We start from the raw sequence: 15,345 nt of genomic DNA, 5'->3' as shown, positions 1-15,345 counted from the left end.
CTGGGCAACAAGAGCAAAGCTCAGTCTCAAAAAAAAAAAAAAAAAAAATTCTGCTAAAATGATGGCTGCTGTTAAACAAGACATGGTATTTTTACCCCTGACAGCCCAAGAAACTCTCACTGTGGCCAAAACCAAGCTTTAGAAAAAAATGTGTGGTGGCCAGGCATGGTGGCTCATGCCTGTAATCCCAGCACTTTGGGAGGCTGAGGTGGGCGGGTCATTTGAGGCCAGGAGTTCAAGACCAGCCTGGCCAACATAGCAAAAACCTGTCTCTACCAAAAATACAAAAATTAGCTGGGCATGGTGGCACATGCCTGAGGTCCCAGCTACTTGAGAGGCTGAGGCACAAGAATCGCTTGAACCCAGCAGGCGGAGTTCACTTCTTGCAGTGAGCCAAGATTACACCACTACACTCCAGCCTGGGCGACAAAGCAAGACCTTGTTTCAAAGAAAAAGGAATGTGTGAACAATCAATTTCTTGAATGGGTAAATAAAAGTTATATCTGCCATGTGAGGGGAAGGCTAGGTAATGTCTGATTTGTAGAATGGCCAAATGCATGGAAAAAATGAGTCATGAGAGTTCTGCAATATGATCTATTGCATATTTCTTCTAAAGCTTGGTTTTGATTGTACAAATTTTATACATTGCTAAATATCAAAGCTCTCTGCCATTTAATAGAAGTCCTTAAGCAAGAATGAATTTGCCTAAATTACTTTAACTTTGTTTACAGAATTTAGCGGGAGGGACAAAGGGAAGGAGGTCAGGCAGTAGCTCATAATCACCACGCATGCTCAGTTGAGACAGGGCTCATAAACACGCCAGCACATACAAGAAACAGCTTTTGTTGGAGAGAATTTGAAGCCAGTCCTCTTTGGATGGCTGATGGTGGTCACCAAACTCCATCTAGCATGTGGCCACTATGTTCAATAGCACAGCCCACCAACAGGCTGGGATTAGTAATTCAGGCCATGCTGGTGGGAGGGAGGGAGGCAGAAGTTAGGAAAGAGGAAGGTAAAATGGGGGTTCTATTTGTTACTTCTTTAGCTAAAGTTTAACCTGAGGTCCTGAGACTTTGTGGGTGAGTGACACTGTTTATGTGTCTTCCCCTGACTTTTTTTTTCAAAAGGTCAGAGGGGGCAGTGGCCTCTCACACTGGAATTCTGAATAGTGTGCACAGATGTCTGTCGCGGTATAGGCTGGCACTCAGGACACATTCCAGCTTAGTTAATGACATCACCCCAACTGGTCCATCTATCTCCTGAGGACACCCAGCTTCATTCATTGTAAACTCCCTTCCTATTCCTTCTCACCCCCTGAGCCCTTCCTTCCTGCAAGGGAGCCAGCCATGCAACACCTGATATCCTTCCATCCTTCAGCAACAGACCAGTCACTTCTGAGCATGGTTTTCCAACAGGTGGTCCCTCCTCTCCCAGTTTCCTTTGTGGTAGTAAATAACTGCAAACAGCCTTCTCAGATGTTTCAGATCCACAAGTCCCCTAGGTTATAAGATCACACGACTGCAAGAACTGGCCTTTCTCTTCTGAGAATCATCTCCCTCCACCTGCAGCTACCACAGGCCAATCACCCAGCTGAGTGCGGAAGAGCTCAGTGACCTCTGTTGAGTGGCAAGCCCAACAGGCACAGGCTACTGCCCTTCCACGGTGACAAAACACCTACAGGAGATGATGCACCACCAAGGGAGGGCAGAGAGCCCCCACCTGGCCGATGAATCCCCTCCACGTCAAACCACTCTGCAAACTCTTTTTGGATTTCCTTTGGAGCACCAGCTTTTGGGTTCGAAGCCTTGGCCAAGCAGTCCCAGTGTGGGAGGAAGGACTGAGGTTCGATCCTGACTTCACCACCACCCCTGGGATTCTGAGTGACGCTAAGCAGGGTGTTCAACTTGCGCAGGTGTCAGTGTACTCATCTGTAAATTCAGGGAATTAGACCCAGTCAGAAGTTCCCAAACATAGCTCTTCATCAGAAATCATCTGATGAGCTTGCTAAAAATAAGAGCCCTGGACCCCAGCCCCAGAAAGTCAGAGGCAAGGACTAAGGAATCTGTATGTTGAATGATACCTCTCCTCTCAAGCTCTGGCATTGCCAGGCCCCCATGCCTTTGTGATTCTCTCTGTTCTGTCTGTTTCCTGAAGAACTTCCTGGTGAGGCGAGAACAATGCCTCTTCTTTTCAAGAGAGGTGGTCTCGGGTATAAGCTTTGCAGAGACACAGCCTTGTAAGCTCATCCACTCATGGGTTTGTAAACAGACACATATGCTTGCTTGGATACATGCAGAGGGGCCTCTCCTGGCCTGGCGTCATGGAGGTTTCTAGAGTATGCCCTCATGCTGCCATCTCATCTCGGGCTCCCCCCGAGTGAACAGAAACAGCACAGCCTCTCCAGAGCCTCCCTGCCTGTGCACTCTCCAAAGGGCTCCTTTATAAACATCAGGGTCATTCCTGGAATTGCAAAGACCTGGGGAGGGTCAGGGCTGAGGCAGACAGTTTGAGAAAACAAAAACATGCTCAAATTCAGCCAAGGTCCTCTGGGGCCCCGTGAGCCAAGCTGTCCTTGAAGAGCCAGAGAAACTGATATCAAGATGGCAAACAGCACTATCAGCTTTCACTCCTTTCCACGGGTCCCAAACATTTCTCCTTGGGTTCAACTAAAGCCATCCAGGAACCTGGCAAGGTGACCTAGTTGCTGAGGCCCAAGTGAGTAGACTGTGCTTTGATTCAAACTTGAACCAGGGACTATGGGAATGGGAAGAATGTGCCTGACCCAGCAATTCTTCTCTCTACATGTGCACAGGGACACATGTACAAAAATGGTCATTACAGCATTACTTGTAGTTGTAAAAACACTATTAGCAACCAGATCCAAAAGTGTTTCAACAGGTGAATGGATAAATAAAACCAGTAGGGTAATACAAAGGAACAATATATAGCAGTTAAAAAGAATATTTCTGACCTATGGATGTCAACATTAGATCTCAGACACCTAATGTTAAGAGGGAAAATAAAACCTTTATGTGCATTTTCAATTTATTTTCACAAAACAATTTGGACAATATTGGTCATCTATCATATATATGCATATAGATGCAATATATGCAAACATAGGCATATTAGTCATCTATCACATATATGCAAGTCTGCTTAGCTAAGAAAGATAAACACTAAGTAAGTACTGCGTGCTAGTGGACAAAATATCAACCGCCCACGGTTCTGGGTGGTAGACTTGTGTTATTACATTGTTCTTTGTACTTTTCTGCATTTTTTAAATATTCTTTTAAAAAAGTCACCTCTCAGGGCTGGGCGCGGTGGCTCATGCCTGTAATCCCAGCACTTTGGGAGGCCAAGACAGGTGGATCACGAGGTCAGGAGTTCGAGACCAGCCTGGCCAATATGGTGAAACCCCGTCTCTAGTAAAAATACAAAAATTAGCCAGGCATGGTGGTGCATGCCTGTAATCCCAGCTACTCAGGAGGCTGAGGCAGAAGAATCGCTTGAACCCGGGAGGCGAAGGTTGCAGTGAGCCAAGATCGCGCCACTGACTCCAGCCTGGGTGACAGAGTGAGAGGCTCTGTCTCAAAAATAAAAACAAAAACAAAAAAGTCACCTCTCACACCAACCACCCCTCATCTTCCTCATCAAGCAGAGCTATCAGTAACCTCAAGTGTCCCTGAAGCCCTACTGGAAGAGGACCAAACGATAGTGACATGGCGGACTTCACCACCACTCTCACTGGCCAGGGCAATGATGTTACCAGGGTCACTTGTCCACCAGTCAGAACCTAGCCCTGGGCTCCTGGCCTGTTCTCTATGCCATGAAGAACTCGGAAATGAGTCAGAAAGAAGACCCAAAGGTAGTAGAAGAGGGTCACAGAATTAAGAAGGGGAAGATGAAGTAATCAAGATGACTCAGGCCTGAGAACTGAAAGCCAAGGGACAAATCCATCCTGGTGCTGCCAGAGGGTGCTGAGTGGTGGAGGTGTCCAAGGGCCAGGAAAACCCAAGGGAAGGGAAGGAGCCGTTCTGTCTCCCCAAGGACCAGAGAGAAAACAGCCTTAAACTAAAACAGGAGAGATCCAAGTTAGAAGCCATCCAAGAATTTCATAAGAAAGAACAAAACAAATCTGATAAATTGCAGATGGGAAGAAATTGCACAGACTCCCTCTGGTATAACTTAGGAGAAACCTTTTGAGAAGGAAGAAGGATGAACAATATGGCCTCCAAGTGTCCAAAGGTCACTTGATTGCATTGATGAAAAGCACTGCCATAGCTGGGAGGATGGCTTGAGCCCGGGAGGTGGAGGTTGCAGTGAGCTGAGATCGTGCAATTGCATTCCAGCCTAGGTGACAGAGCCAGAGCTTGTCTCAAAAAAACAAATAAATAAGGGCCGGGCGCAGTGGCTCACCCCTGTAATCCCAGCACTTTGGGAGGCCAAGGCGGGCAGATCACGAGGTCAGCAAATCGAGACCATCCTGGCTAACATGGTGAAACCCCGTCTCTACTAAAAAATACAAAAAATTAGCCAGGCGTGGTGGTGGGCGCCTGTAGTCCCAGCTACTCAGGAGGCTGAGGCAGGAGAATGGTGCAAACCCGGGAGGCGGAGCTTGCGGTAAGCCGAGATCACGCCACTGCACTCCAGCCTGGGCATAACAGGGGGACTCTGTCTCAAAATAAATAAAATAAATAAATAAATAAAAATTTTACAAAATTTTAAAAAAGAAAAGCACTGCTGGGTAAAGTCTTCTGGTAATTTGACCCAACTTTCTTCACAGCACTCTAGCCTGAGTCCATTGCCAAAAAGCTGTAGGTCTGTGCATTTTCTTAGTCCTCCTAAGGACAGAAGCTTCCTGAAGACATAAACTTGGTCTTAGCTTCCGTACAGCTTTCCATACTTAGTGAATGAAGGACAGGTGAGAAGACATTCTGTGTCCTCAATTAACATTTTAGGAAGGAAGACACTGCTTTTTTTTTTCTTCCAAGACTGAAGAAGTAGAAGCCTGTCCAACTTGATTCTCTTACTTTCATAACTTTATTTACCATGAAGGGACTTCATTATTTAACATCAAGCTCTTCCCAAGAGACTTGGTTAAGCTCTTTTAGTGACCAAGAGCTACCTGTTTATTTGCATAGGATGTATATACATCTCTGCTGCCTTGGTTTCTTCTTTATTCACCTTTCTAAAATGCTTTTCTTGTCCCCCTCCAGCATGAAAAAGCATGTGTTACAGGTGGTATGACAACTGCTTTTTCATATGGTCTCCTAGCTGACACACAGCATGTGCTCAATTAATGTTTACACATTAGAAAAGGTGACCATCTGATATGGTTTGGCTGTGTCCCCACCCAAATCTCACCATGAATTGTAGCTCCCACAATTCCTACATGTTGTAGGAGGGACCCAGTGGGAGGTAATTGAATCATCGGGGTAGGTCTTTCCCATGCTGTTCTCGTGATAGTGAACAAGTCTCATGAGATCTGATGGTTTTATAAAGGGGAGTTTCCCTGCACAAGCTCTCTTGTCTGCCACCATGTGAGACGTGCCTTCACCTCCCACCATGATTGTGAGGCCTCCCCAGCCACATGGAACTGTGAGTCTATTAAACCTCTTTCTTTTGTAAATTACCCAGTCTTGGGTATGTCTTTATCAGCAGCGTGAAAACAGACTAATACACTATCAAAGAGCATCTAGCACTTGCCCAAGAGTACCCTGTTACATTAACTCTTTTTCTCATTCTTCTGGCCTTTGCCTCATCTAGAGCCCGTATCAGCAAGAGTGGTTAAGAGTCAAGAAAGGCAGTGAGCAAGTCAAGAAAGGCAGTGAGCAAGTGGAACCATGAGATGGGATGGGAAGGACACATGCCTGTCCTAAGACCCACATTCAAACAATTCAGTTTCGATGATGCAATCCCACAGCCCCACTCCCATAGTGTAACAAAGGCTGAATCCTACCAACCTTTCCCACCACCCTCCCCTTCCACTGTCCTCTTCTCCATCCCCATAACTCTGCTCTCAGATATTCCAGGCCTGACAAATTGAACCCACAGGATGCAAAAAGAAATTTAAAACCTGCAAAGATGTCCAGGATTGCCGGCCACTCTCAAACCAGCACAAGAAGTGTCTTGAATATAAATAAGTGTCTTTAAATAGGTCACCATGCTTTTCTCTGTCTTCAACTAAAGTTCACTAATTTTGTCTGATAGTATATCACATCAATTACCTTCCTTGGCTATGCTCTCAAGGTTTAAGAGGCAGTGAACCAAACCAGAGACAACCAGCAGAGCCTCAAGTGGGAGTCCTAACTTCTGGGGCATAAATGGGACATGGTTGGTCATTAAGCTGTTGGTAGAACCACAGGCACAATGGCATCGAGGGTCATGACTGCCCCCTGGAAAACTCTCAACCATTGACTCCTCTCTGGACTCACTGGAGGCTTTCCAAAGCAAAGTGGCAGCTGTCCAGGTAAGCCACACTCAAGGGAATAAGTCACACCTGCTAACAGGATTCTTGAAATGACCAATCAGAAAACGTCCAAAAGCGGTGTCTGCCATTCTCCTGTTCTCCTGTATTGCAAGAATCAGAACCTGCACTACCTCATTTGATTATCTGAGTTTCTGTGCTACGTGGCTTGCATGTTTACCTTTGTTATCAAGCAGGCACATGAGGTTGGTAATTTCTTATCCCCCTCACACTTGATAAATGAACTATAGAGCTGGAGGCCAACTGCACAAAGTCATGTAGCCAGTGGCCAAAACCAAGCCCAGGTTGTTAACCAACCAGATGGCACCTGGTCACTTGGCATCACCTAAGGAAAGACTCTCAAGCAAGACCTTTTAGCCCCAGGGCTTCATTTCTTCCCCTCCCCATCTCTATGGGACCCCCATCTTTCCCTAGAAGTAGGCTATCAGTCATGTCAGCAGCCCTACTCAACCGCAAAAGCCTCTTTGATCCAGTAAACCTGTCCTACCCCCACCCCCTTTATCCTGCCTGACACACCTCCCACCACTGTTGCTATAGCAACTGCTCAGCATTATCAGGAAGTCACGGGGCAGGGCACAGGGCACAAGGGAATTGCCATTTTCATTTTGTTCTTGGCCTCGGGCATTTTAGAAAACAAGTTCACCACCCAGAGGCAACTTGGCACCTCCATCCAGAAGTAAAGACAATAGACCTAAAAGAAACTTCCTAGAGAGTTGCATAAAGGAACATTTTTGAGAAGATATGCCTTAATTACTACTTCCCAGGGAAAAGGAGCTCTTCCAAGAAGCAGTATATAATTCACTGCTTTTCTGCATGTGTGAGTCTGGTGAAATGGAGAGCTGGAAGAATCTAGAGACCCAGACTACAATCTGGTCTGTGCTTGCCTTGGCAGTTGAACCTGAATGTAGCCTTGATTTCTTCATTTGTTAAGTGGAGAGAATCTCGAGGCTAAAACAGAGCTGGGGCAGGAAGTGGGAGAGGGGAAGAATATAAAACAAACAAAAAAAACAAAATGAGCTTTCTGGTAGAAGCAGGCAATGTCTAGAACAAAGCCATTTTGTTTATCACTGTTATATCACTTATTCTTTGAGGTGGCTCCCTTTGCTTAGTGCCAATGACTGACTCTCTGCACCCCCAGAGTCCAACCTGAATCACTCCAGCTGAAACACCCCCCTCTTCTCAACTTCTAATAGGATGGAACACACTGAGTAGGTACAACTTCCTCCCCACCTACCAAGGCCTTCCGGGACTCAGTCCCCCTCTTCCCTTTGACTTCCTGGCTCAGAGAGCTCAGTTCCTTGAATGAACACAGGCTGCCACACCTTCACCGTCCTCCACTAATTAGAAACCTCCCCAGGCTTCACTAGAGGCCAACTCCACCAGGGCCTATGGACGAATTCCACTGCCCAGCAGCTGGGTGTTTGCCAGCCCCTGCCCCCTTCTCCCCAATCTTCCCTCCTGCCCTGCCTCCCAACAGCCAGGAAGAGATGTGGGGCTGGCAGCCAGAAGGGCCCCAAAGACTGCCAAGTGTCCCTCCCCCCGCCCACAGAAAAAAGGAAAGGGAAAAATTCCTGACTACAGTTGCTCTGTATTTCTTTCCGGGAGGGCTGGCTTTTTGAGCAAAGTCTCCCTCTGAGTCTTGACTGACACCCAGGGGCTGAGCCAGCCCAGATCTTCCCTGGCTTTGTTCAGGAACAGGAGTGGCCAGAGAAGGGGGAGGGAAAAGTCAGGGGTTAGTAGCCAAGGAGGAGGAGAGGCATAGGGAGATGGTCCATTCTCCAGAAGAAAAAAAAATCGACATCCCACCCAGCCTGCTCTTTGTGAGTGTGGAGGGTGGGAGCAGGTGAAATTACTCTGGAACTGAAAACCAACACATTTCTCTGGACCTACTATCCCATCTGTAAAAGGGGCTTTTCCTTTCCTGCCTCCACCATGAAAGCCCTCCAAGAGTCTACGCCAAGCTTGTCCAACCTGCAGCCCAGGAGAGCTTTGAATGTGGCCCAACACAATTTCGTAAACTTTCTTAAAACATTATGAGATTTTTTTGCAATTTTTTTTTTTTTAGCTCATCAGCTATGGTTAGTGTTAGTGTATTTTATGTGTGACCCACGACAATTCTTCTTCCAAGTGGCCCAGGGAAGCCAAAAGATTGGACACCCCTGGTCTAACATGACCATCCACCCCGGATTCCCAATGGCAGTACTTTGCCTTGTCCCCAGTTCTGATTTCACCATAAGCGTATTCTGACCCTCAGAGACTCAAGCATCCGCCTTCTCTGCTTTCCTGGGGCCATGCCTCATTAGATGCTGGAAAAGAAAGTCTTCGGCATCATTGTGCACAGACAGGCTGCCATTCAGAGGGCTTTTTGGTACCACAGATGGAATCAGACATTAGGTAGAGCCCCAGTACTCAGAAGACACTCCCCCAACCCAGCGTTTCTATGGAGAATCCAACAGCCCCTTGCAAAATGAGATGCTGCTCCCCAACTCAGGAGTAAACTCTGGAGACAATGTAGCAAGAACATATCACTTTTTTGGAAACAGCTTCCAATTTATTTGCCAGGATCAAGTTCAGTGCATTCTGGCATCCCAGGTTCAGAGACGTGAAAGGTCCATTTTCCTGGTGCAGGAAATGGGTGGCATCGGGTGCCCTCACTGGCTTTGATGACTGCACAATTGCACACCCTTGAGCATGCCATATGTGCTAAATGTGCTAGGACCACTTGGATTAGTTAATACTTAACTCTATTATTCTGAAGTCTGGATCCTTGCAGACTTCCCCTGGAGGGCCATCTATACAGAGAGGACCTTCCCCCACCCAGAGATGTAGCCTCAGGGATTCTCCAGAGCTCTGGACACTGACAGCCAGAAGGCTAGGTCTTCCAGGTTGGCTGGCCAGGCAAAGGAGGAACTCAACCCTGTGTTACCTGCTTATGAGCAGCAAGGCCAGCATGAGAACCCAGATGTCCAAGCTCTGGGGCCACCTCTGTTCCCCATAGTCCCTCCAACCCCCATTCTAGACACTGCAGACAGAAGCTCCCATACCAAAAACAGTCAGTCCTAGACATCAGCACATCGGATCCAAAGAGCACTGCCCAACTAATCCATTAAAAATGCAAGCCTAGGCCAGGCGTGGTAGCTCACGCCTGCAATCCCAGCACTTTGGGAGGCCGAGGCGGGCGGATCACAAGGTCAGGAGATCGAGACCATCCTGGCTAACACGGTGAAACCCCGTCTCTACTAAAAATACAAAAAATTAGCCGAGCGTGGCGGCGTGCGCCTGTAGTCCCAGCTGCTGGGGAGGCTGAGGCAGGAAAATGGCATCAACCCCAGGAGGCGGGCTTGCAGTGAGCCGAGATCGCGCCACTGCACTCCAGCCTGGGTGACAGAGCAAGACTCCGTCTCAAAAAAAAAAAAAAAAAATGCAAGCCTAGCCAGACGGGGTGGCTCACACCTGTAATCCCAGCACTTTGGGAGGCCGAGGTGGGCGGATCATGAGGTCAAGAGATCGAGACCATCCTGGCTAACACTGTGAAACCCCATCTCTACTAAAAATGCAAAAAATTAGCTGGGCGTGGTGGCAAGTGCCTATAGTCCAGCTACTCAGGAGGCTGAGGCAGGAGAATGGCATGAACCCGGGAGATGGAGCTTGCAGTGAGCCGAGATCGTGCCACTGAACTCCAGCCTGGGCGACACAGCGAGACTCCGTCTCACGAAAAAAAAAAAAAAATGTAAGCCTGGTCGGGCACCATGGCTCACGCCTGTAATCATCAGCACTTTGGGAGGCTGAGGTAGGCGGATCATGAGGTCAGGAGATCGAGACCATCCTGGCTAACACTGTGAAACCCCGTCTCTACTAAAAAATACAAAAAATTAGCCGGGCGTGGTGGCGGGTGCCTGTAGTCCCAGCTACTCGGGAGGCTGAGGCAGGAGAATGGCGTGAACCCAGGAGGTGGAGCTTGCAGTGAGCTGAGATCGCGCCACTGCACTCCAGCCTGGGCGACAGAGCAAGACTCTGTCTAAAAAAAAAAAAAAAAAAAATGCAAGCCCGATGGTCTCCAACCGTTTATGCACTGCATTTATAATGCACTTATCAGTTGCATTTATATTGCATTTATCAATTGCATTTGTATTGCATTTAAAGTACAGTTTCATTGCCCTTTCCATAAACCACCTCACTACAGCCCTGTGAAAGTAGGTTGGAGAGGTATGGATATTTCCATTCATAGGTGAAGAGATGGAAATCAAGTGACTCATCACCAAAATGCAAGAGCTTAGGTTTTATATATAGTTTATATCTTTACACACATCTGTGTAGTTGACCCAATGAAATACTATCAATTTCTGATTTGCAAATAAGAAAACTGAGGCTTAGCAAGAAATCTCTTACCTTGGGTGATTAGTACATGGTAGACCACCTGGGATTTGAACCTCCAGAGAGGAGTGGCCTGCCTGACCTTTCCAGTTTGGCCTTCATTTTAAAGGCCAGCTAATTGTCAAGGAGGAGATGTCACTTGCCAAGATTAAGGCAGCTAACATGTACAAGAACATACTATGTGCCAGGTACTTGCCATTATCACAGCCACCCCAACACGCACCCTGGGAAAGAGGTAAAATCATTGCTATTTTACCAACAGGGAACTGGCATTGGAGGAAGAGCCTTACTAACTACTGAAGTATTAAGAGACAGGGTTGCAATGGAACCAACCCCGGTCAATATGACAGCAAAGGCCAGGCTGCCTGCACCATCATCTGCTACCCAGCAGCTCTTCTCTCAAGAGGCCCACCCTGTGACCTTCTTGTCCCTCTTGACTGACCTCTGTATGCTGGCTACTTACAACTGTGAGGTCCCCAAACTCCAGGACTTGTAACTGTCCATGGAGTCAAGGGAATCTACATAATTGAAATCTGGCAGAAATTTACTGTGCCCCATACATCACCTGCACATGGCAGCTGTCCAGGAACAAAACTGCTGGTTGATACGGTCAAAAGCTTTTCTCTACCAACAGCCCAACTCCTTACCCGGCCACGGAGGTAGAGGGGTGCAGTGGGAAGGTACCCAGGTTAGCCTCTCAGCATTTTCGTATCGCTGAGTCACCCAGTGTCCACACCTGCAAAATGGAGGTAGAACGGCCTCCCTCGCAGGGAGGTGGAAGACAGGAGACAAAGCAGGCACAGAAGCCAGTTCATAATAGGGTGAGGACAGATGCGAGCACCACCAATCTCCTGGCGGCTGCCTGCCATCTCAGTGAATTGCTGGCCAGAGACAGGATAAGCAGAGGGATCTAGAATATCTGCCAACCACGTTACCAGCTTCCCTCATGAATTCAAACATCATCTCCCGCTTCTATGCCTTGGTTTCAGCAGAAGCAGCGCTAGTGCTAACTCTTATAGGAGAGAATCCCATTCCCTGGCCTATAGAAGTCCTTTCCCTCAAAGCCCAGTCAACCACCCTCCTCATTTAAGGATTCTAGTTTTTTCAAGCATTATAGTCTCCAGTCACCTACATAATATCCCTCTGATTGGATGGATCTCTGAGGCTGAGACCACTATATTTTCCACACCATTTTTGAGCCCCACCCACCTACCTAGCAAGCAGGTGTTCTAGCTGAGCCGGAGTAGGAAAGGCATGGAAGGGAGAAGTGTGGGAAAGGAAAGAATGGTCTGCAGGGACAAAGAGGACAGCATGGAGAAGGCAGGAGGAGGAAGAGGGAGTCGGGAACATACAGAGAAAGGCTGAGACGAAATGCACTCCCTGGATACAGAGTTCCTTAAAAAATTAAAATAGGCCAGGTGCAGTGGTTCACGCCTGTACTCACAGCACTTTGGGAGGCCAAGGCGGGAGGATCACCTGAGGTCCAGAGTTCGAGACCAGCCTGGCCAACATGGTGAAAACCTGTCTCTACTAAAAATACAAAAATTAGCCAGGCATGGTGGCAGGTGTCTATAATTCCAGCTACTTGGGGGGCTGAGGCAGGAGAATTGCTTGAACTCGGGAGGCAGAGGTTGCCGTGAACCGAGATTGCGCCACTGCACTCCAGCCTGGGTGACAGAGCAAAACTCGGTCTTGAAATAAATAAATGAATAAAAATAATAATACAAATAAAAATAACAATTCCCAGATACACAGACTCTTTGTAAAAACAAAAAAACAAACAAAAAAAAAACAAGCTTTTTTCTTTTCTTTTGGGTACAGTCTTCTAGTACGCGGGAAGGACCAACAACAAAAGCAGATGTGGATGTGGCCTCACAGCCCCTTTTTGTTCTGCTCCTCCTTCATTCCTTTCAGCAGCCCCCTGTCCTATCCTGCCAGGCATCATAGGTATTTACCTGTTCTCCATTCCCTTTGGTGCAGAATTTTCAGAACTTCCTCATATCAATATCGAACAGTTGTGGCCAGGTGCGGTAGCTCATGCCTGTAATCCCAGCACTTTGGGAGGCCAAGGCGGGCAGATCACTTGAGGTTCACGAGTTTGAGACCAACCTGGCCAACATGGTAAAACCCTGCCTCTACTAAAAATACAAAAATATTAACCGTGTATGGTGGTGCATGCGTGAATTCCCAACTACTCGGGAGGCTGAGGCAGGACAATGGCGTGAACCCAGGAAGCAGAGCTTGCAGTGAGCCAAGATCACGCCACTGCACTCCAGGCTGGGCGACTGCACTCCAGCCTGGGCGACGGAGCAAGACTCCGTCTCAAAAAAAAAAAAAAAAAAAAAAATTAGCCTGGTCGGGCACCGTGGCTCATGCCTGTAATCCCCAGCACTTTGGGAGGCCGAGGTGGGCGGATCATGAGGTCAGGAGATCGAGACCATCCTGGCTAACACTGTGAAACCCCGTCTCTACTAAAAAATACAAAAAGTTAGCCGGGCGTGGTGGCAGGTGCCTGTAGTCCCAACTACTCGGGAGGCTGAGGCAGGAGAATGGCGTGAACCCAGGAGACGGAGCTTGCAGTGAGCCGAGATCGCACCACTGCACTCCAGCCTGGGCAAGAGAGCGAGTCTCCGTCTCAAAAAAAAAAAGAAATTGAACAGTCGTACCTCCCATTTTCTATGGGTGTGAACAGCCCAGCTGAGAACCAACTGGAAGCCACCTGATGACTGGGCCAGAGAACAGTTCTCTCCAAGTCAGCCCTCAAAGGTCAGATAATGAGTGAATGGATATGCTCCTACTTTCAGGTAACCCATGGCTTTTTATTTTTATTTTTATTTTATTTTATTTTTGAGACGGAGTTTCACTCTTGTTGCCCAGGCTGGAGTGGAGTGGCGCCATCTCGGCTCACTGCAACCTCCAGTTCCCAGGTTCAAGCGATTCTCCTACCTCAGAGTCCCGAGCAGCTGGGACTACAGGCAGGTGCCACCATGCCCAACTAATTTTTGCATTTTTAGTAGAGATGGGGTTTCACTATGTTAGCCAGGCTGGTCTTGAACTCCTGGCCTTAGGTGATCTGCCCACCTCAGCCTCCCTAAGTGCTGGAATTACAGGCGTGAGCCACCGCGCCTGGCCAACCCGTGGCATTTTTATTTTATTTATTTTTTGAGACGGAGTTTTTTTGCTCTGTTGCCCGGGCTGGAGAGCAGTGATGCAATCCCAGCTCACTGCAAGCTCCACCTCCCGGGTTCAAGCAATTCTCCTGCCTCAGCCTCCCAAGCAGCTGGGACTACAGGCATGCTCCACCATGCCCAGCTAATTTTTGTATTTGTAGCAGAGAAGAGGTTTCACTATACTGGCCAGGCTGGTCTCCAAACTCCTGACCTTGTGATCCACCTGCCTCGGCCTCCCAAAGTGCTGGGATTACAGGCATGAGCCAATGCGACCGGCCCCATGGCATTTTTATAGAACTAATTTCCAGCCTCTGAGCCTGAAGGAATGATTTGCCTGAAAGTCTTGAAGCTCAGTGCTGAAGTAGGCCAACAGTGAGAACTATCTAAGCCTCCCTCTTCCCTCTGCCTGACAGGAAGCTCAACAGTCCACTTGGCCAAGAGCCATTGTGTGGGCAGACCCTCGGGAATACAACAGATGGGTTCTTCTCTCCTTCCAGGCTCTACCACCTATTCTAACCTAGAGACTCCTGTGCCCCACTTTTCTCAGATTCCTTAACATTGTTAAGTAGAATTTTTCTGTTCTCGAACCTTCCTCAAATATCTTGTCTAAAGAAGTGGGTCATTACCACCACACAAAGGGACTTATCACAGTAAATGTTTTGGACATATGTGGAAGCTGAGTAGGGAAATTTCAAACAAAGAAGACCCGGATTCTGCAGCTTCCTCAAACTGCAGCCCACCATGGGCAACGGCAGCCCCAGGCGTCAGAAAGAACACCACTTGCCTCACTGGTCCAGAATCTGTCGGGCCACACCCTTCAGAGAGGCCCTGCCTCCGAGGCCAGGGTGCACACTGCCACACCCTGCTTGGTCTCCTAGACAGGCGCTTCCCCATCTCCTTCTTTCATGAACAGTGGTGACTGGTGACTCAGGCAGCGCTGCTTAGCAGAACTAGTGCCGGGAGTTCTGTCCAGATGGGGGGAGGGGAGGTGGAAGGTAGTGGTGTTAACAATCAGTGACAGTAGATCCCACTCATTTCCCTAGTCTATTTTACGACTTTGAACTCAGTATGCAAATTTATGCAAGACGAGATGCAAAGCAGTACTCTGAGCCAGAAGTCCCATTGCTTTTTCCCCCTTTTTTTTTGAAGCTGCACTGAACCACTGTAAATCAGTGCTTGCCTCTTCCCCCCTTTATTCTTCCCCGGCAACTGCAGATGCAGAGCCTCCCCAGGCCCGCCCGCCCGCCCGCCCGCCCGCCTGCCTGCCTGCCTGTCTGCCCGCCCTGGGACTTTGAACGACTACACATTTCT

General features: G+C 48.1%; 1 protein-coding gene across 3 annotated transcripts in view, besides 1 other annotated feature; it reads right to left on the bottom strand.

Annotated features, from left to right (window-relative positions):
• IGFBP2 (insulin like growth factor binding protein 2) overlaps positions 1 to 15,345 on the bottom strand; it is a 31,609-nt gene that overhangs the window by 12,218 nt on the left and 4,046 nt on the right. The gene's annotated exons all lie outside the window — the stretch shown is intronic.
• Positions 8,000 to 8,574: an enhancer, noted in NCBI's record as "H3K4me1 hESC enhancer chr2:217508368-217508942 (GRCh37/hg19 assembly coordinates)". NCBI's record gives its function as "activates a minimal SCP1, AML or CMV promoter by ChIP-STARR-seq in naive H9 embryonic stem cells {active_cell/tissue: H9 hESC(naive)}" and the evidence as "EXISTENCE:reporter gene assay evidence [ECO:0000049][PMID:30033119]".

This window comes from Homo sapiens, chromosome 2 (assembly GCF_000001405.40).
Source record: "Homo sapiens chromosome 2, GRCh38.p14 Primary Assembly".
In the NCBI taxonomy this organism is placed as follows: Eukaryota; Metazoa; Chordata; class Mammalia; order Primates; family Hominidae; genus Homo; species Homo sapiens.
This window is presented reverse-complemented; position numbering and strand designations above follow the sequence as displayed.